The 22,483-nt window shown below is 39.3% G+C and overlaps 1 protein-coding gene and 1 long non-coding RNA gene across 7 annotated transcripts in view, besides 3 other annotated features; one reads left to right on the forward strand and one right to left on the reverse strand.

The window, feature by feature from the left end:
- The window catches only part of PARP11 (poly(ADP-ribose) polymerase family member 11), a 64,539-nt gene extending 54,194 nt beyond the window's left edge, over nucleotides 1-10,345 (reverse strand). For 5 of the 6 annotated variants that reach the window (NR_104461.2, NM_001286521.2, XM_047429175.1 and 2 more), the window contains exon 1: nucleotides 10,158-10,345. Coding sequence is in view for 3 of the 6 variants with exons in the window: in XM_047429175.1 (XP_047285131.1) it covers nucleotides 10,158-10,175 (18 nt within the window). In the remaining 3 variants the exon portion in view is untranslated. Of the gene's footprint in view, nucleotides 1-781; nucleotides 904-10,157 lie in introns of all 6 variants that reach the window. The other variant, NM_001286522.2, reaches the window with a different exon arrangement.
- PARP11-AS1 (PARP11 antisense RNA 1) overlaps nucleotides 7,118-22,483 on the forward strand; it is a 40,211-nt gene continuing 24,845 nt past the window's right edge. The window contains exon 1 of the long non-coding RNA NR_183432.1: nucleotides 7,118-8,902. This is a non-coding gene — a long non-coding RNA (PARP11 antisense RNA 1). The remainder of the gene's footprint in view (nucleotides 8,903-22,483) is intronic.
- Nucleotides 10,013-10,122: a silencer, noted in NCBI's record as "silent region_4143". NCBI's record gives its function as "represses an Ori minimal core promoter by ATAC-STARR-seq in GM12878 lymphoblastoid cells {active_cell/tissue: GM12878}" and the evidence as "EXISTENCE:reporter gene assay evidence [ECO:0000049][PMID:35858748]".
- Nucleotides 10,794-11,314: an enhancer, noted in NCBI's record as "H3K4me1 hESC enhancer chr12:3983014-3983534 (GRCh37/hg19 assembly coordinates)". NCBI's record gives its function as "activates a minimal SCP1, AML or CMV promoter by ChIP-STARR-seq in primed H9 embryonic stem cells {active_cell/tissue: H9 hESC(primed)}" and the evidence as "EXISTENCE:reporter gene assay evidence [ECO:0000049][PMID:30033119]".
- Nucleotides 11,315-11,834: an enhancer, noted in NCBI's record as "H3K4me1 hESC enhancer chr12:3983535-3984054 (GRCh37/hg19 assembly coordinates)". NCBI's record gives its function as "activates a minimal SCP1, AML or CMV promoter by ChIP-STARR-seq in primed H9 embryonic stem cells {active_cell/tissue: H9 hESC(primed)}" and the evidence as "EXISTENCE:reporter gene assay evidence [ECO:0000049][PMID:30033119]".

Raw genomic sequence — 22,483 nt, forward strand, 5'->3', positions numbered from 1 at the left:
TGTAGGTTTCAATGTACAGATCTTGCAAATCTTTTATGCTACTTTCAGGCTTATTTCATATTTTTGATAGTACTGTAAGTGGAATTGCATTTTAAAAGTCAATTTCTGATTATATGTTGCTACTGTATAGAGATACATTGATTTTTGTATATGAATTCCATATCTAGCAACCTTATGAAACTCATTTATTAGTTCTAAGAGCTTTTTAAAGATTCCATTAGATTTTTACATAGGCATCATGTCATCTGAATAAAGACAGCTTTACTTCTTGCTTCTAAGATTTAGATGCCTCTTTTTTCCTTTCTTGCCTTTTTCCTTAGAACCTCTAGTAGAATACTGAATAAAGAATGGACATCATTGCCTTGTTCTTGATCTTAGGGAGAAAGTAGTCAGTCTTTCACCATTAAGTTGTTAGATAAAGGCATTCTGAAGATGCCCTTTGTGTCAGGGGTCCCTAAGACAACCCTCAGGGTTGATGATTTCCTAGGACTCACAAGACTCAAAAGTTGCTCTACTCATGGTTACACTTTATTACAGTGAAAGAACATAGAGTAAAATCAGCAAAGGGGAAACGCACATGGGGTGAAGTCTAGAAGAAACCACATACAAGGTTCCAAGCGTCCCTTCCCGGTGCAGTCACATGGGACACACTTCATTCTCCCAACTATGTGTGACAATATGTGCAAAGTGTTACCAACCAAGGAAGTTCATTTGAGCCAAAGTGTACAGGGCTTTTACTGGGTATCAGTCATGTAAACATAACAGCACCTGTGTGACTGACCTGTTACTGAAGCTCCAGATTCCCAGAGGGAAGGCAGGTCTTCACCGTAAACTGCATTGCTAGTATAAACAATCTGGACAAACTGGTATAGCACGGCTCAAAGACTCGGGCATGCAAATACACTATTAAGACAAAAAATTTCAAGAGCTTAGTTCCCTGGAGGTGAGCAAAGGACAGTCATGGAAACAAGCTTAAGAATGGGCAAGGTTTCAACAACCCCAGCCTGTTGCGTTAACCCCCTTCCACATACCGTCCATCAGGTTGAGCAAGTTCCTTTCTATTCCTAGGCTGCTGAGAATTTTAATCAGGAATCGATATTCGATTTTGTCAAAGGCTTTTTCTGCATGTACTGGAATCACCACATAGTTTTTCATTTTAGTTTGTTTACCTGGTGAATTACATTGATGGCTGTTCAAATATTAAACCTTGCATTCTTGGAATAAACATCAGTAGGTCATGATGTATTAATCCTTTTATATATGTTAGATTTGAGTTGCTAAAATTCTGTTTAAAATTGTGCATGTATGTTCATGCAGGATATTGGTCTGTAGTTTTCTATGATGGGTTTTGAAATAAGGGTCTGACAGCCTTATGAAATGAGTTGTGAAGTATTACCTCCTCTTCCATTTTCTAAAACTGTGTTAATTAGTATTATTTCTTCCTTAAATATTTGGTAGAATTCACCACTGAAACCATCTGGACCTAGAATTTTCTTTTAGAATGATTTTTTTCTGCAAATTCAAATTATTTAACAGATGTTGGACTATTTGTGTTATCTGTTTCTTCAGTGAGCTTTAGCAGTTTGTATCTCTCTAGGAATATGTCTATTTGATCTAAGTTGTCATACTGCTTGATATAAAGTTGTTCATAACATTCCTTTATTATCCTTTTAATGTCTTTAGAATATGTAGTGATGTTACCTCTCTCATTCTTAATATTGGTAATTTGTGTCTTCTTTTTCTCCTGATCTGCTGGGCTAGAAATTTATTAATAGTCTTGATGTTCTCAAAGAACTAGCTTTCAGTATCATTGATCTTCACTGTTGTTTTCTGTTGTAGTGATTTCCACTCTAACCTTTATTTCCTTGCTCCTGTTTAACTTCTTCTTTTTCCAGTTTCTTAGAAAGCTGTGATTATTGATTTGTAACATTTCTTCTTTTCCAATACAGCCATTAATTTAGCTACAAATTTCCCTCTAAGTACTGCTTTGGCACCATCCTACAAATTTGATATGTTGTTTTCATACTTTCTATTTTCTCTTTTCATTTCTTTAATCCATGGGTTACCTTAAAGTGTTATTTATTTACCAAATGTTTGGGAATTTTACAATCTTTCTGTTACTGGTTTCTAACTTAATTCCATTTAGGTCAGAAAGTACATCTTGCTTGACTTCAATTCTTTCAAATGTACTGAGATATGTTTTATGGGCCAGAATATGGCATATATTTTTACACGTTCTCTATGTAGTTGGAAAAAAATAAAACCCATGTATTCAGCTGTTGATGGGTGAATTGTTCCATAAATGCCAAGCAGATCAAGTTAGTTGACAGTGGTGTTCAAGTTTGTTATACTGTTGCTCATTTTCTATCTGCTCATTCCATCAATTATTTGGAGAAAACTACTGAAATCTCCAGTTAACTGGGTATCTTTCTATTTCTTATTGCTATTCTATTAATTTTGTTTCATGTATTTTAAAGCTCTAATATTGGATGTCTAAAATATCTAGGATTGTTTCTGGTTAACTGATCTCTTTATCATTAAGAAATGACATTCTTTATCCTTGATAATATCATTATCTCTGAAATCTACCTTAACAACAATAAACCACTCACACTTTCTCTTCATTAGTGTTAGCACTGTGTATCTTTCTCTATTTAGTTTTATTCTATTCATGTCTTTATATTCAAATTGTATTTCTTACAGACAACTTATACTTGGGTCTTGTTTTTTTAATCCAATCTGAAAATCTCTGTATTTTAATTGGGGTGTTTGATCCATTTACATGTAGTATGATTATTGATATGGTTAGCTTTAAGTTTACGTCTTGTTATTTGCTTTTTTTTTTTTGGTCCCACCTGTTCTTTGTTCTCTTTTTTTTCTATCTTCTTTCAGATTGAGTGCTTTTAGGATTTCATCTTGTCTCCTTTGGTGGCTTATTAACTGTAACTCTTTGTCTACACACTATGTTTATTTCTTCAGTTTCTATGCTAACACCCACTCCAATTTAACTTTTCTAGCTTCTGATCCAATCTTTCCTACCCATCATCACTTAAAAACAAACAAACAAACAAAAGACACTTCCTAGGATGTCTAATGAGCTTCACATTACTAAATCCTATGCTCTTTTCAGTCCTCATCTTACTTATCTCACGGTAACATTTCACAGTTTATCCTCTGTCCTGAATAACTCTTCTCTTGGTTTCTATGACATGACACTCTCCAGATCATCTTATTTTTTTGTCCATAAATTCTCAGTCTCCTTTGCACTTTGACTTCTCCTCAGCTTGTAACTTTTAGAGTTTCTCATGGCTCAGTCCTAGCCCTTCTTGTTTTCTCTCAGAATCTTCAAAAGACGGTCCTCAGGGATTATGAGATATTTCACAGGCATTTTCAGGGGCAAAGTAATGAAATAAATTTGTCTACATACATTTTGAAAAGTTGAAATGTAAGATTAATAATTTGTACGAAAATCACTTTATTTTCTTTAAAGTTACCATTCACTATAATATCCCATTATATTCACTCTCTGTTGATACATTCATATCAGCCATAGTTAGCATTTACTTAAATATAGTACTATAAAACTCAAGTAAACTTTCAGATTATTTTTCACACAAAGCACAAAGTCCATTTGCTTTGTTAATAAGGACAAAGAAGAAACCAAGAGAAAAGACGCATTCCTCAGCTAAAACAGGTAAAAATTCTTGATACTGCTGAGAAGCTAGTCAATTCAAATTTAATGCCTGAGAAGAAACAAGCTATTGACCAAAATTCTTTATTAAATGATTCTACTGGATGTCATATATTATCATGCTATATTATCATGCAACACAATATAGAAGAGCAATTACTGTCATGTTGAGTGCTTTAGCATATATTTTGTTTTACAATTGGACAAACTACCTGTGGAGAAAATATAAATCAGTCCTTGACACATATACAGTATATAAGGTAAAAGTACTCAACAACTTTTTGTTCTACATATCAGTGAAAACTTATAGTACAGGGAAGACAGTTTTTATTTAGACAATGATACTTTTGTGAGCTATGACATAAGTTGAAAAAGGTGCCACACATTCAAAATTGACAGAGCATGAAGTATACAAATAGCAAAAACATACACTGTTATGTTACTAAAAGATTCTTTATATGAAACAGGAGTCAACAATATGCCTCCTGATTATAACTGAGTGTTGAAGGAAATAATGGAAATTAAACATCATCAAATATTGACTATTCAGAGTATGCGCTCTCAGATGTTGCAGAAGGAAATGGCAGCGTTTGCAAGATTATTCTTCCCACGCAAGTTTGCTGGCTGTCAAGGAAAAAAGGTGCTGACAAGTTTCTGAAATGAGGGATGAGATTTTAAAAAACAAAAAAATTCTTCATAATGCTGACAATACCAAAAAGTAATTCTATGTTTTCTAGAGGCCTGCTTAAGTGGAGTATAGCAGAGATATATCTAGAATTTTAAATAGCGTGAACCTACTACTTCAGGGCCAAAATACCCTGATTTTTAATGCTGAGAATAAAATACCATATTTTTCAAAGTCACCAAGCTATGTTGCAAATGGCTCAATTGCTAGGATGTGATTCCTTCCCAAAACCTGATGGTTTTCTTCACTTCTTAGAGTGAGACTGATTACACTATTGTGTGTATAAAGAACATGACTAAATGTTAAAACAAAACATGGGAAAATACTTTCCAGATACTGAAGAAGTCAAAAAATGACTTAAGAATCCATTTGTTACTATCTTCCAAACATTCAGGCTGGTTGAAACATTCACCCTAATATTACAGGCTTCTCAATAACGCAACTGAAAGAGCACAAGATATAATCTTCAGGGAGAAATCTTCCGATAATTTTTCAGTCTGTATTTGACCTTGATATTCCTAAACATCTGACAGCGCCAGCAAACACAAGTTGCAATTCCTGACAATCTATAATTGTGGCACAACATTTCCTAATTTAGTAGACATACAGAGTAATCAAAATGTGGTCTAACCTACATCTCAAACTATTATCAAATTAGATATAAGTACTTTGTAAGAAGCTGCAAAAAAAAAATCATCCTTCTCAATGATAATAAAAACATTAATTTCTAAAATACTGTTTTATTGGGGGCCAGGCACGGTGGTTCACGACTGTAATCCCACCACTTTGGGAGGCCTAGGCGGGTGGATCACTTGAGTCCAGGAGCTTAAGACCAGCCTGGCCAACACAGTGAAACCCTGTCTCTACTAAAATACAAAAATTAGCCAGGTGTAGTGGTGCACATGTGTAGTTCTAGCTACTCAGGAGGCTGAGGCACAAGAATCACTTGAACCCAGGAGGCAGAGGTTGCAGTTAGCCGAGATCATGCCACTGCACTCCAGCTTGGGTGACAGACTACCTATAGACACTGAGGCTCAAATTTCAATTTCCAGCCCAGCCTTCTTCTCTGAGCTCCAGACTTACCTCCCTAACCAACTGCCTTCCAAACTTTACTACCTGATGCTTCATAGGCACATTAAACATAGTGAGTCCAGAACCAAACTCCTGTTATCTTCCATATGGCTCAGTGAAAACATCTTATTCCTGGCTGCCCATGCCAGAAAGCTAAGTCATCATCTAAGATGCAGCTTGAATTGATCTCCTCTCTCCCCACTTAGTAGTCACCTTCATAGGTGACTTCATACTTTCCCCACATAGTCCAAGTCACCTTCGTCTCTACCCTGGACTACACTATAACCTCCTAATTAGTCTTCCTACAGCCCCTTATCCCCCTCAGTATTTTCTTTTGCTGCTAGAACAAATTACCACAAACGCAGTGGCTTAAAAACAACACTAATTTATTTTCTTACATTTCTGAAGAAATCTTACATGCATCTCAATGGGCTAAAATCAAGGTGAGTTTGATTCCCTTCTAAAGGTTGTATGAGAGAATCTATTTCCGTGGTTTTTCAAGCTTCTAGAAGCTACCCACATACCTTGGCTTGTGACCTCCTTCCTTCATCTCCAAAGTCAGCCATGTTGTATCTCTTTGACCATTCTTCCATAGTCACTCCATGTCTTTTGTCCCCATGTTCTACTTTTAAGGACCCTTGCGATTACTTTGGGGCCCCCCTGGATAATCCAAGGTAATCTCTTTATCTTAAGGTCAGCTGATTAGCTAATTACCTCCCTTTTGCCATGTAACAACATATTTACAGATTCTGGGTATTAATATGTGGATATCTTTAGGAGGCCATTATTACGTCTACCATATTTTCTAATACATAAACTCATTTTCCACACATCAGCCAGAGTAATCTTTTTAAAAACATAAATATGTTCATGACACTTCCTTCAATGTGTTACCACTCCTCTAAGGATAAAGTTCAAAATCCTAAACATGTGCCTCAAATCCATGCATGGCCTGGTTCCTACCTCCTGGGCTTGTCTTCTGGTGCACTGTGTCCCAGCCACATAGGCTTCTCTCTTTTTCTCAAGCACCAAGCTCCTTTCTTTCTCAGGATCTTTGCTCACACTATCTCTGCTGTCTGAACAGCTCTCCCCACCTTCCAGCCAACCTTTACCTGGCTAACGCTTGCTCAATCCTTCAGATCTCTATAAAAGTTACTTTCACAGGGTGGCCTTTCCTGATTGCCCAGTCTAGTATTAGCTCCCCCTACACTGTCATAGTACTCTTTTTCTTTCATATCTTTTTATCACAATTTAAATTAAATGTATTTGCATAATTATTTGTTTAATATCTGCCTGCCTGCACCAGACTGCAAACCCATAAAGGCTGGAGCCTAGTCTGTTCTGTTCACCACTGTAAACCCTGGGACTTCGCACTAACTAGCTTATAACAGGTGCTCAATAAATAAGTGAGTGACATTACATGTTATTATATGACCAGCAGGCAGGTAGAGTATATGCAGTGTGGATATGCTGGACAAAGGGATGATTCGTGGCCCCAGGCAGGATGGAGCACAATGGCATGAGATTTTATCACACTACACAGTACAGTATGCAACTTAAAAGTTATTAATTGTTCATTTCTGGAATTTTCCATTTCATATTTTCAGACCGCAGCTGACTTCTGGTAAGTGAAATTGTGGTAAGTGAAACCAGGAAAGCGAAACTAAAATAAACTAACAAATTACTAGAGAAACCCACACGTAGAATGTTGATTTTTAAAACCAAATTGCGCTTACTGATATCATTCATATGCTTATAGGAAGAAAAACTATTAGTAGTAATAAAATACAGTAGCAGTAAGACAAATATGTCTTATTTGGGTGGCAAAAGAAGAATGTGAGATGATCTGTGGAGGATTCCCCACTTTTAACAAAAGTCAGCCTGCTCTGCTGAAATTAGCAAAATCACACAGGTGATTTCAAAGAAAACCCATTGCTTACAAAGAAATGAGATAATGATATAACAAATCAAGTATATAAGACATTCATTAATGCCTTTATAATTCTCACAAACACACAAATAATCCAACAGCAAATTCTGATGTATGTGTGACGCAGGAGGGAAAATTCATAGTAGGAGCAAAGAATTATCTTTAGTCCTTGCTGGTACAACCACCATCATGAATTCAACAAATATTTATTGAGTGCCTACTATGTGTCAGGTTCTGTTCTCTAGTTGAAGATACTATAGGAAAAATAACAGAGAAAAACCCCTGTCCTTGTGGATCTTACAATATAGTGAAAGATTTAAAACCTTGAGTAAGACATATACTTGGGTGGCTAAAGGGTTTGTTATGGAAAAATTAAGAAGGACTGATAACAAAAAGGGAATAATAGCTACATAAAGATATAAATACAAAATGAAGGTTGTTGATGACAGATAGTGAAACTGAATATATAAGCAGAGAGCACATTCTCATTATTCTAAATTATTTTTGCTAAAATCAAATACAAGTAATTACTTTCCTCTAATGCAGCTTGAAGAGAGTATTATACGTATGAATCGAAAATACTAAGATGATGACTATTGTTATATGATGCACAAGAAGGAACCATAATGTGCAACTACCAAATCCAGACCAACAGACTAGTTTCTACTGGATAAAAACTTAACTTAAAAACATAGGGAAATGTACTGATAAACTTTCTAACTTATCTGGAAATATATTCCAGAAATGAGAGGGGAAGAATACTGATTATAGGAAATTATTGCAAATATGGAAATTAGGGGTTATTAAAGTAAATTTATGCAGTTATCTCAGCATAGGAGTAGTTTCTTATGTTTCATACACAATTATGCATTGCATAAAAGCTTTCAGTCAACCATGGATCGCATATACAAGTGGTCCCAAAGATTGTTAACACTTTATTTTACTGTATCTTTTCTATGTTTAGATACATAAATACTTTCCATTGTGTTACGAATGCCTACAGTATTCAGTACAATACTATGCTGTACAGATTTCTAGGTTAAGAGCAATAGGCTATTCCATATAGCCTTAGGTGTGTAGCAGGCTTATGAAAGTACACTCTATGACGTTGGCACAATGAAAAAAATCACCCAGCAATGAACTTCTCAGAACATATCCCCATTGTTAGGAGGCGCACGACTGTATTTAGTCCAACAACTTGCTGAAATGTGATTCTACCATTTTTCCAGTCAACTCCTAAGTTTTAAATACCATACATCTGCCACCTTACCAGGCAGTTTCAACCATAACAACAGAAGAATACTCTTGGCAAATAGATCCCACTCTCTGAGGGTTGTGTTGGGGCTCAGAAAATACTACCCCGAAGTATGACACTTTGGCATGCTGAATACTTTGAACTAAAAGAGATTGGAAGGCCTCAGAAGCAGCCTCGGAAGCAGTCTCTCCCTCTGATCTCCTGCCCTTCTGTCTCCTGCCCATCTTTCGTCCCAGAAGTGAGTCACAGAAACCAGAATTCTTCCCCAAGGTGAGTGATAGAAACTAGGATCCCTCTCCTACAAAGCAAGCCATAAAAACTGGAACTATTAAGCTTTCCCTGCCATTGTCTATAGGAACTGGCCATAAAGAAATTCTCTAATCTACCTTGCCTGATAGTAGGTCGCTAAGACCCTCATTCCAGAAGGGACCTTCCTCCTCCGTAGGAGGAAGAAATGATACACAGAGAGGCCAAGAAGAATCTGAACAAACAGACCTTGCTGGGCTTCCTTCCTCAGTTTATTAACATTAGAGTATATCCTTTGTCCAGTCACATTTTTACACAGTTGTCTATTCTTCATGGGTCCTACGCATAAAAATAGAGATCTCCCTGGTCTCTGAAGTGCCTGGTGGTGTAAAACTTTGATTAGATTTGCTCTGCTTTTACCTTGTTAACCTATCTTCTGTTTTAAGGAGTGGTGGCTGTGATCCTTACAATGGGTGGTGAGGAAAGGTACTAAAGTTTTCGGCCCCTACGTTGCACTTTAAATAAATAAATGTATAAAAGCAAAGTAGACAAAGACACATGAAGTCATAATGAAAATACCAGAGTCAGCCAAGGAAGAAGGCAGACTTGCAGTTGAAATGCTCCAGATCACTTTGTCCACCGAACGAAAACATCTAAGAACATACAGTCCATACTCCAAGTTTTAAACGACTGTCCACCAAGAAGGGAAAAGGAGAACTGATGGCTCCTCTTAGGCCCATTCAAGACAAGGGGGTCCCAATTCCCTTGCTTTAGACTGGTGGGACTGGCAGGTAAACCTGAGGCAAATGACTGACTACAGGTTCCAAGGCCAGTTACTCCAATTAGAAAGCAAAACACAAAGTTTCAAAAAACAGTGAAGGCAGTCGGGAGGCTGAGGCACGACAATCGCTTTAACCCGGGAGACGGAGGTTGCGGTGGGCCGAGATCACGCCACTGCACTCCAGCCTGGACAACAGTGCGAGACTCCGTCTCAAAAACAACAACAACAACAAATGGTGAAGGGATGAGGCTGAAACATCACGGGAAGTAAAATAAATAATTGTAACAAGAAAACAATAAAGCATTGGAGAATCCACCCAGGCACTTCCACTGCTTAAAAAGGTACAGACTACAGAAGCCAAAAGGCCCGGGAACTCCGGTCCCGGAACTCAACACCCAGACTGAAGCGAGCGCGGGGAAGCAGTTCCGGTGACCCCCTCCCGCCCCTCTCTCATCAACCCCGCCCCCTGGGCCCGCCCCGTCCCGCCCGGCTACTCACTGGATTCGCTTCCCACATAACGGTGACAAAATCGAGCGGAGAGAGCCTGTGGGAAGGGGCTAGCCGCGGGGCCTGGGTGTTGGATTTTTTTTTTTCCCGCGGGTCCCCGGGAGCGAAGGGACGGAGATGCAACCTTTACGAAGGCCTTCCTCCTCCCCCTCCCTGTCACAAGCCAGCGTTTACAGACCACCCAACCTCCCGACTTCCGCCCGACGTTGGCCAGTCAGATCTGTCTCCGCCCCACTCCTACAAGCTCGCCCCGCCCCTGCACGCTTATCCATACGCGCGCGGGCGGTCGTCCTGGGCGGGGCTTGCGAGTCTGTGTCTGACGAAGGAGTTTAAAGGGTTTCTGGTCCAACTGTATCACCCAGTGATCTTAAAGCCACGGCTGGCTGTATTTCTTTCCTATGAAACAAATTTTTATTGATCACCGTGTAACGACCAAGAGTCACACAGGCCTGGCAATGGCATTTGGGAGAAACTTCATAATCTTTCAATATCTTCATCCTCAAAATGGAGATGGTAGTAATATCTCCCTATGAGTGAGATTATTGAAAGCATTTAGCACAGTATTTGGCACACAGAGTTCAATAAGTGACGGTTATTTGCTCACAAGGGAACCTTTACATACTATCCCTGCCCTCAAGATTTTATAATCTAGAAAAGAAAGCAAAAAGTAGTTTAGAAAAGTTAAAAAGTGCAATATGATTTATAGGTAATATGGTGAATAGAGAGTGCTATGCGAGCATATTTACCTAGAGTAGAGTGTCAGGAAAGCTCCCTCAAGATGTTTAAAACCATGAGGATGTATTCCTACTGATGTAAAGAGAGCTAACAGAGTGAAATAATCTTCCATGCAACAAAGGATCTACCCCATAGGAAATGAAAATTAAACAGCTCATTATAGATCCTTCTGGACTTTTCTATGCCTCTACACATTGAAAAAAATGTAATCAAAGAATACCTATAGATTTAGAACCTGATTTTTTTTTCACTTTAAAGATTATGTGGCTATCCTTCCATTCCATTAAGTTTAAATCTGTTTCATCATTTTATTTATTTATTTAGGCAGAACCTCGCTCTGTCGCCCAGGCTGGAGCGCAGTGGCGCCATTTTGGCTCACTGCAACCTCCGCCTCCCGAGTTCAAGCGATTCCCGTGCCTCAGGCTCCTGAGTAGCTGGGATTACAGATGTGCGCCACCACGTCCCGCGAATTTTTGTATTTTTAGTAGAGACAGGTTTTCGCCATGTTGGCCAGGCCAGTCTCGAACTCCTGACCCCAGGTGATCCACCTGCCTTGGCCTCCCAAAGTGCTGGGATTACAGGTGTGAGCCATCTTGCACCCGGCCATATTTTAAAGTAGACTCATGGCATTCCATAACTTATGCGTATACTACGTACACACAAATAGACACACACATTTGAAATAATCTACTGAATAGACGTTTGAGTGGTTTTCTATTTTTCACTATCCCAAAAAAATCCTTCAACAGGCATTTCTTCACATTTGTCCATTTACTTCTTGGAATTAATTCCTGGAAATAAAATAGTTTACTAAGAGATTATTTTTGCCAAATGGTTGACCAGTTGCCCCCATGTCATTTAGTGAATATTCTTTCCTCACTACTTTGAAGTGCCACTGTTAATTACAACCTAAATTTGCATATACATATACATAGGTATACATACACGTATATATCTGTTTCTGAACATTCTCCTCTATTAATTATCTGCTTATTCCTAAAATATGCCACAGTTATAATCATTACATATTTAATATATTTGCCTTTTCATAAAGGAACCTCTCCTAATTCTCTTCTTTTTCAAAATTTTCAATATCATGGGTCTTTCCATTCAGAAATACTTGTTTTCTGTATCTTTAGATGCATTAACAATTTTTTTTCAGATCTGCATCAGCATCTGTAAAAAAAAAAAAAAAATCACATAGGTTTGCATAATCCTTGGGAAGTTTGTTCCTAGATATTTTATAGTTTTTTTGTAAGTGAGATATTTCTTATTGCTGTAATTTAGGAAAGCTATTGACTTTTGTTTATTTACCTTGTATCCTACCACACTATGAAAAAATGTCTTGTTAGTTCTAATAGCTTGACAGCTCATCTCTATGAATTTGTACACAGACAATCATTATCACCTGCAAATAATGCGTTTCTTTCTTCCTATTGCATTGGTCAAAACATCAGAAAAATGTTTAAGACTACAGGACAAGATAATGGATATCCAGCTTTAATGCAGTAAGGCAAGCATGTGCCCATTTGGTGCTAGTGCTAGTTGGTATTCTTTTTTTTTTTTTTTGAGCTGGAGTCTCGCTGTGTCGCCCAGGCTGGAATACAGTGGCACAATCTGGACTTACTGCCACCTCTGCCTCCTGGGTTCCAGCAATTCTCCTGCCTCAGCCTCCCGGGTAGCTGGGACTACAGGCACATGCCATCATGCCTGGCTAATTTTGTATTTTTAGAAGAGATGGAGTTTCACCATGTTGGCCAGGTTGGTCTCGAACTCCTGACCTCAGGTGATCCACCCGCCTCAGCCTCCCAAAGTGCTGGGATTACAGACGTGAGCCACTGCGCCTGCTAGTTGGTGTTCTGAAAATACACTATCATCTTTAAAGAAATTTTCTTCTATCCTGTTTTACTACATGCTGTTAAATCAGGAAAGAGTGCAAAATTTTACCAACTGTCTCTTAGCCTCTATCACTATATTTGTTTTTTACTCTGACTCTTTTATATAATGAATTATGCTCATTGATTTCCTAGTGTTCAACACATTCTTACATTTCTGAAATAAACTCTGCTTTGTCATGTTCTATTATTTTTTGATCAAATGAAAGCCATGCTGGGTTTGATTTGTTAATCTTTTATTTAGGATTAAAATGTATTTATAATTAATAAAATTGGTCCATTGTTACTGATTTTTGTGCTTGTCTGTAACAAGTTTTGGTATCAGAGTAATGCTAGCCTTGAAGAATGAACAGTAGCAGTTTAAGTAATTTAGGAACTAGCTCTTCCTTGAAGTTGGAAGCGAATTTTTACAAAGCAGGTTTAACTAGAAAGGTTAGAGCCAGGTCCTCAATCTTTTGTGAGGCTGGAGCTATACTTTGTTTTCTTGAAGATGTGGAGTTGCCTGAGCTGGTGGTAGGAGAGTGGGATGGAGAGAACACAACTGGTTTGAGTACATATTGAGTGAACAATTCCTTAAAATATACTGCTCTATACCTAAGTAACATGAAGGGAAGTGAAAACGGCTATACGAATTTTAGTGATTTTTTTGCTTATTTTTACTGCTTTAGGACCACTGAGTTAAACAGCAAGTATTGGAAGCGTCCTTAATGATTATTTAGCACACACAAAGTATTTAAACTTTTTTTAAATAAATGGCCACTATTTTAAAACTGGGAAATTTCAAATTTAATAATATGGGCCTCCAGTTTTGCTTTCACACTGTATTCCCATATGTCAACAACTGACTGAAGCCATGTTGACTCCTTTAGACTGGGAATGGGCTGTCAGTCTCGTTTAAATTACCTTCCTAGGCCCTTTCAGGTATTTGGGCTTATACCCAATGAGACACCTCTTATCTTGCTGAGGCAACATAATAGATCTAGGACTTCCTAAAATATCCTCACAGAAAACAACTTTACCGAACTCTCCCATAACTTACTCAAGAGTGAGCTCCATCACTGTAGCCCAAACTCTTGTGGTCTTTAGCAGATGATGGCAGTTCCCCCTTATCTGCAGGGGATACATTCCAAGACCCTCAGTGGCTGCATGAAACCACAGAAAGTACCAAACTTAGTATACACTTTTTTTTCCAACCTGATAACCAAGACAGCTACCAAGAAACTAATGGGCAGGCATAGCTCAGAGATATTTCCAGTCCACTTCCAGACTATCAGAATAAACCAAATATTATTATAAACCAAGTCATATAAATTTTTTGCTTTCCCGATGCATATAAATCTTATGTTTATACTATACTATAGTCCAGTAAGTGTGCAATACCATTATGTCTATAAAAAATGCTCATACCTTAATTTAAAAATACTTTATTGCTAAAAAATGCTAACAATCGGCTGGACCTGGTGGCTCACGCCTGTAATCCCAGCACTTTGGGAGGCCAAGGTGGGCAGATCACCTGAGGTCAGGAGTTCGAGACCAGCCTGGCCAATATGGTGAAACTCCATCTCTACTAAAAATACAAAAACTAGCCAGGCGTGGTGGCAGGCACCTGTAATCCTAGCTACTTGAGAGGCTGAGGCACAAGAATCACTTGAACCTGGGAGGCGAAGGTTGCAGTGAGCCAAGATCACGCCACTGCACTCCAGCCTGGGCAACAGAGTGAGACTCCTTCTCAAAAAAAAAATGCTAACAATCATCTGAGCCTTCAGCAAGTGATAATCTTTTTGCTGGTGGAGTTTCTTGCCTTGATCTTGATGGCTGCTAACTGATCAGGATGGTGGTTGCTGAAGGCTGGGGTGGCTACAGTAATTTCTTAAAATAAGACAACAGCAAAGTTTGCCACCATCAACTGACTCTTTCTTTCTTGAAAGATTTCTCTGTAGCATGTGATTTGGTTTGATAGCATTTTACCCACAGTAGAACATCTTTCAAAATTGAACTCAATCCTCTCCTCTCAAACTCTGTTGCTGCTATATCAACTGAGTTTGTGAAATATTTTCAGTCCTATGCTGACATTTCAGCAATGTTCACAGCATGATCGGCAGAAGTAGATTCTATCTCAGGAAACTTTCTTTGCTCATCCGTAAGAAGCAACTCCTCATTGGTTCAAGTTTCATCATGAGATTGCAGCAATTCAGTCACATCTTCAGGCTCCATTTCTAATTCTAGTTCTCTTGCTATTTCCATCACATCTGTAGTGACTGCCCTCCACTGAAGTCTTAAATCCCTCAAAGTCTTCCATAAGGACTGCAATCAACTTCTTTCAAACTCCTGTTAATGTTGGCATTTTAATCTTCTCCCATGAATCATGAATATTCTTAATATTATTTTCAATGGTAAATTATATACAAAAGGTTTTCAAATTATTTGTTCAAATCCATCAAAGGAATCACTATATATGGCAGCTATACCTTTACAAAATGTATTCCTTAAATAATAAGACTTGACAGTCAAAATAACTCCTTGATCTATGGGCTACAGAATGGATGGTGTGTTAGCAGGCATGAAAACAACATTAATTTCCTTGTACATCCTTATCTGTGCTCTTGGGTAACCAGGCACATTGTTAATGAGCAATAATATTTTGAAATAAATCTTTTTTTCTGGTGAGTAGATCTCAACAATGGGCTAAAAATATTCAATAAACCATGCTGTCAACAGAGGTGCTGTCATCTAGGCTTTGTTGTTCCATTTCGAGAGCACAGACAGAGTAGATTTAACATCATTCTTAAGGGCTCTAAGGTTTTCAGAAATGGTAAATGAACATTGCCTTCAACTTAGTCATCAGCTGCATTTGCTCCTAAAAAGAGAGTCAGCTTTTTCTTTGAAGCTTTGAGGCCAGGCATTGACTTTTACTCTCTAGCTATGAAAGTGCTAGATGGCATGTTCTTCCAATAGAAGGCTGTTTTGCTTACACTGAAAATCCGTTGTTCAGTGGAGCCACCTTCATCAATAATTTCAACTAGATCTTTTGGATCACATGCTGCAGCTTCTCCACCAGCCCTGTTGCTTCACCTTGCACTTTTATGTTATGGAGATGGCTTCTTTCTTTTTTTTTTTTTCTGTTTTGAGACAGAGTCTCACTCTGTCACCCAGGTTGGAGTGCAGTGGCACCATCTCGGCTCACTGCAAGCTCTGCCTCCCGGGTCTACACCATCCTCCTGCCTCAGCCTCCCGAGTAGCTGGGACTACAGGTGCCCACCACCATACCCAGCTAATTTTTTTGTATTTTTTTAGTAGAGACAGGGTTTCACCGTGTTGGCCAGGATGGTCTTGATCTCCTGACCTCGTGATCCACTCACCTCAGCCCCCCAAAGTGCTGGCATTGCAGGCATGAGCCACTGCGCCCGGCGCATGGAGATCTCTTCTTTCTTAAACCTCATTAACCAACCTCTGATAGCTTCAAGCCTCTTCTGCAGCTTCTTCACTTCTCTCAGCCTTCATAGAATTGAAGAGAGTTAGGGCCTTGCTCTGGATTAGGCTGTGTTGTGGCTGGTTTGATCTTCTATCCAGACCACTGAAACTTTCTCCATAGCAGCAATACAGTTTTTTTCACTTTCTTATCATTGTGTGTTTACTGGAGTAGCACTTTTAAGAATTTTCCCTTTGCATTCACAACTTGGCTGTTTGGTACAACAGACCTAGATGTTGGCCTATCTTGGCTTTTGACACACTTTCCTCACTAAGCTTAATCATTTCTAGTTTTGATTTAAAGTGAGAGACGTGTGTTCTTCCCTTTGCTTAAACACTTAGAGGCCATTGTAGGGTTATTAATTGGCCTACTTTCAATATTGTTGTGTCTCAGGGAATAAGGAGGCCCGAGGAGAGGGAGAGACACAGGGAAAGGGCTGGTTGATGGAGCAGTCAGAACACACACATTTATCAGTTAAGTTTGCTATCTTATATGAGTGCGGTTCATAACATCTTGAAACAATTCTAATAGTAGCACCAAAAATCACTGATCCCAGATTACCATGACAGATAGAATGATAATGAAAAATTTGGATTATTGTGAGCATTACCAAAATGTGACACAGAAACATAAAGAGAGCACATGCTGTTAGAAAATCGGAACTGATAGACTTGCTTGAGCAGGGTGCCACAAACTTTCAGTTTGTTAAAAAAAAAAAAAAAAGAAAAAGGAAAAGAAAAAAAAAAGCAACATCTGTGAAACATGATAAAGCAAAGTGCAATAAATAAAAGAAGGTGCGCCTGCAGACACCATGGAAATAGTGACTAAAGGGAGGATTCACATCTTGGGGAAAACGGGAAGGGAATGGCATGAGATTTCATTATGCTACTCAGAATGGCATGCAATTTTAAACATGAATTATTTATCTCTTGAATCTTAATATTTTCAGGTGATGGTTGACAGCGGAAAACTGAAATCGCAGGAAGTGAAATTGGGGCTGGGGGAATACCATTGTATAGTTGGTTCTCCATACCCATGGGTTACACAATCATGCATTCAACCAACCATGGATCAGAAATATTGAGAAAAAAATAGATGGTTGTGTCTGTACTGACCATGGACATTTTTTTTCTTGTCATTATTCCCTGAACAATACAGTATAACAACTGTTTACGTAGCATCTGTACTGTTGTTAGGTAATTTAAAGTATACAGGAAGATATGTGTAGGTTATATGCAAATATGTGTTAGTTATATGCATCATTGTATATCAGGGACTTGAGCATCCCAGGATTTTGGTATCCGAGGAAGGTTCTGGAAGCAACTCCCCATGGATATCAAGAGATGACTGTACTCTCTGTGTGCAAGGCCTGCAATTTCCCCTGATACGTAGCCTAACGCAGGGTATGTATCATCATAGTTCCTTCTGCTTCATAGTTCCAGGCAAAGAGCCACTGCAGTAGAAACTATGCATACTGACCAGGGTCACCAGTTTTCTCAGGAAAACTAAACATTTTACTTTATCTTTCATATTTTCTACATGTGTTCTGGGTGGAAATGTCTTAAGCCATGCTAAACCCGGCCCAGGAATCATGAGTGATGGCAGCCCTCCCTGGAACCCCATGAAGTTTGTTAGATTTTCAAATGCTGAGAGAGTTAGGAGGAAATTCCCAAGGGGAAATGAAAATCATCAGACGGAGAAAACAGGTAGATGGATGAAGAGAGCAGCAAGGTGAATTTGCGAGAAAAAAAATCAATCTCTTCTAAGACAATAGAAGGAGGAAAGAGAACGGAGTAAGTGGTGAGATGCAGGATACAGTATTACCTATCATTTTACTGTTATTATCATAACTGTTTTTATCCATAAAGGTCACATTTACAACCAGAATTTGGGGAGCTGTAGGAAAGGATATGGGAGACAGGCTGGATTCGACAGAAAGGAAGAAGGCGCAAAAGGAAAGCCAAGGGGGCCAGGAGAGGGTGAGGGAGGAAGGGGAGAGAAAGCTGCATTTGTGCCCATCCGCCTTGAATATAAAGACCCAGCCTCCGTCTGAAAAAGAGCCAACAATGAGGCAGCCCCAGAATCAGCCCTGCTGTTGAAGTCTGACACGTTAACAACCCCAGCAGGAATTAAGAGGTGAAATAAGCAGATGAAACATTCACCGAAGCCGAGATAAGCATTCCTGGAAAGGAATTTTTCAAAAAATCAAAATGAATCTCACAAATCTTCCTAATTAGGAAACATGACAAGGAATTAAATTCAACCTAAAAAAAAATGAAGTGCTAAATAACTCACCCACACTAAATGGAAAGGCTCTATTGAGAATACCACTGATTATTAGTTTTCGCTGCTCCGGGAAATTATCTACGCACAATGATGGACATCAGCATTCAGCTCACAGCGGCAGTCAAAAGCAGCAGCTGAGATGTGTGGCCATCCTAATTAGAGGATGGAGAATTCTGAAAAGACTCTGGAGCTGTGACATTCCTGGCTGGGGCTTTCCTTCCAGGAATGCCACATTAGGGTTTTGGTCATCACGTTGTAAAAAAAAAAAAGGACTTAATAGGAATGATCCAGAAAGGGACAACAGAAATGACTTAAAAAAGAGCGTGAGAAGCTTTGAGGTTCAGAACAGAAAACAGGAAAAGACTTCCATAAGAAATAATTTTTAAAATTAGGAGAGAAGGAGGTAAGTAAAAGCCTCGGGTGGTGGAAAGGGCAGCCAAAAGGTATACTGCCTGGACTTAGGTCACTCCAGACATGTGAGGGTTTAGCCTGTTTCTAATGAGCACACCCAGGGGTGTCAAGAAATTACAACAGATTATCTAATATGAATTAGCCTTCAATTCTTCATTCAATAAATATTTAGCAAGCACCCTCCACGTTCCAGGCACTGTCTGTAGCCTCTTGAATAGATCAGGGAACAAAATAGATTTTAAAAGCCTCTGCCTTTATGGGATTTACATGCTAGTGGGTGGGCAGGCCTTGGGGTAGGGACATGTGGAGATAGACAATAATAGATAATAAATAAGTACATCGTATAGTGTGTTCTAAGGTGATAAGAACTATAGAAAAAAACATAGATCAGGATAAGGAATGTTGGGAGTACTCAGGATGCCCCTCGTTGAGAAGAGAACATTTAAGGAAAAACTTGGAGGAGGTAAGGAAGTAAAAGTAATAGATATCTAGACAAAAGGTATTCCATGCAGAGGGAGCAGCTGGTACAAGCTTCCCAAGCAGCAATATGCCTCACATGCTAAGGAAGAGTGAGGGGAGAGAGAGAGAGAGAGAGAGAGAGAGAGAGAGTGTGTGTGTGTGTGTGTGTGTGTGTGTCTACGTGTGTCTATGTGTGTTTGGAAAATTAGGAGTGGGAGGATGATATGCAGATTGAACAGGGCGTGGTATAATAATTAACAAATACTTACATTTAGTAAGCAGTGTTATAAGTGACACTTATAACAACGTCAGGCAGTTAGTATGTGCCTGACGCTGTTATAAGCTCTGTTAACAAATATAATTCGCACAAGCACCCCACGGAAGTAGCTACTCTTATTACCCTCATTTTACCTCTAAGGGATCTGAGACACAAAGAGATCAGTTAGCCTGTCCAAGGTCAAGCACTGGAGCCTTGGTGCGTGGATTTAGAGCCCACGCTCCTAGTTGCTGCCTCATGCCATCTCTCAATGTGGTTTTAAGCCATCTACTTCTGATTCCAGTTCTGATTACTTAACCTCGATTGGATTCCAGTGTACTCCCTAGGATAAATTTATGTTTCTCTTAAAAAAAAAAAAAAGCAGCGTGGCTCACTGCTTTATCACTCATGACCTTTCCTGGCCCTTTGTTCCTTTCCCCTACCAATTCATGAGCCGCTATTTTCTGCTAGTTTATCCCTGAAGTCCATTATTTCTGCCCAGCAAATAAAGCAAATGTCTATGGATAGAACTTCAGTTCAGTTTGTGAGGGAGTAGGGGTGGTGCTTCTCTGGTTTAATAACGCCCTACAGATAACTAAGAGGCAGGACAGGGCATACACTGAGTTAAAAGCTAGGTGTCACTATTTCTTATACTCCAAAAGGCACTGTGTGGAGGGGTGTGTTTTAACACAACCATCACCAGCTCCAGCTTCTCAAGATCTCTGTCCTGTTTTCTCAAGACACAGCACTTTTATGCTGAAAACCATTGAAATGTAAAGCCATTGAACTTTAAATGGATGAGTTATACGTGAATTACACCTCAACAAAGCTGTTAAAACAATTACATAATTTTTGTAAATGTCAAGATCTTGGCTTTTACCTCCCCTGTTGACCTCCCTGCCTGACTTCCGTCCTCCCTCACATACCTTCAGGGGGCACAGAACCATACTCAGAAAGAGGATCACCATTCCAGAACCCCAAGCACTCCATCCAACATTACAACTTTGTTTTAACTCCAGGGATTACAGCAGTATGCCAAGGAAAATAAATGACTCTTTACCATTAGATCTTCAGTACCAATTTTCCTTATTAGAAAAAAAAAATCTAACTTTTTTTTTTTTTCTTTTTTTGAGATGGAGTCTCGCTCTGTCGCCCAGGCTGGAGTGCAGTGGCCCGATCTCGGCTCGGCTCACTGCAACCTCCACCTCCCGGGTTCACGCCATTCTTCTGCCTCAGCCTCCCGAGTAGCTGGGACTACAGGCACCCGCCACCATGCCTGGCTAACTTTTTTGTATTTTTAGTAGAGACGGGGTTTCACTGTGTTAGCCAGGATGGCTTCGATCTCCTGATCTCGTGATCCACCCGCCTCAGCCTCCCAAAGTGCTGGGATTAGAGGCGTGAGCCACCGCTCCCAGCTTCTAACATTATTTTTAATGTTAAAGCAAATGTGTATATTATGAAGCAGAAGGCAATATTCACTTACATAGGGCTTTTTAAAAATTTTTGAGACAGAGCCTCCCTCTGTCACCCAGGCTGGAGTGCAATGGCGTGATCTCGGCTCACTGCAACCTCCACCTCCTGGGTTTGAAGTAGGTTCTTGTGTGTGGTTAGCTGCTTTAAGCTGGAGTGGGAACAGTGTATGTCCTCTGCCAGTTGTGGAGACAGAGAGATTGAGATACACTGTCAGTGGCTAAAACAGGAGACTCAGGAACTGATCCAAGCTCAGTACCGCTATATTATGTGATATTGTGCATAACATCCCATTTTGGGGCCTCAGTTTCCCAACTAAAAAATGAGATGATTGAACCAGGTGATCTCCAAGGTTGCTGCCATCTCTCAAAGTCCATGATTTGGTGTCATACTGACACAAATCAGATTCTGGGCTCAGATTCATCAGCACCAAGATGCCCAGAGATGTAGGAAGCAAAAGATACAGTCCCTGTCTTTGTGGAATTTTTCATCTACTGAGGGAGACTATGAAGTGAATTTACAAACCATCCAAAGGACACAAGAGGCAAGAAGCAGCTGAGAATCATGAGTGATTAGAAATCTGGTGCAGATCACTCGCTTTGAGTCAACTGTGCAGCTAAACGACAAGGAGACTCTTACCCTGCCAACCCCTGCGCCCTTTGGGCCAGGATAACTTGACACAAAGGCACTTGCTGTTGACCTTGTGCGTGGCCCCAAATCACAGAGTAAGAAACTCTCAGAGCAGGAAAGGGATGTTAGCTATGAACAAATCCAAAACCCTCCATCTACATTCAGGATTTGGGATAATGCTCGCATCACACTTAGAGTATTTTTATTCGATAGAAGGTTCTTAACATTAACTCAAATCTTAAATAATCCTAAAATTGGAAGAGAAATATATCCTTCTCTTCAAAGCCCAATACATTAAATATGGAATGATTTTAAGACAAGTCTTATTATGACATAGGGTTGAACAAGATCTGCCTGGCAGCCACTTATTGAAAAGCATTGCTCTGAAAAAAATTAACTTCTACCCTTCATTGTAGGGTATTTATGCGTTTTCTTATGTCATCATTTCAGATCCTTTCCTGCTCCCGAAGCTACGGCAGAGCATTTCCGTAGGTCTCCAGTCACATGTCTTTGCTTTTCTGAACATACCAGGAGATCTATGAAAGTGAAACTAAAAGGAAATAGAAAGGAAAAACTGCTTCTGATCTCTCTCATCCAACTATTTCATTTTCATTTGTTCTAGGAGAATTTCTTCCAGCTCTAGCCTCCTGGATTTACGCATATTCTGGGGACTAGACTAAAAACCTCTACCTCTGGCAGGCATCTT

The sequence above is a fragment of the Homo sapiens genome, chromosome 12 (genome assembly GCF_000001405.40).
Source record: "Homo sapiens chromosome 12, GRCh38.p14 Primary Assembly".
NCBI classification, from domain to species: Eukaryota; Metazoa; Chordata; class Mammalia; order Primates; family Hominidae; genus Homo; species Homo sapiens.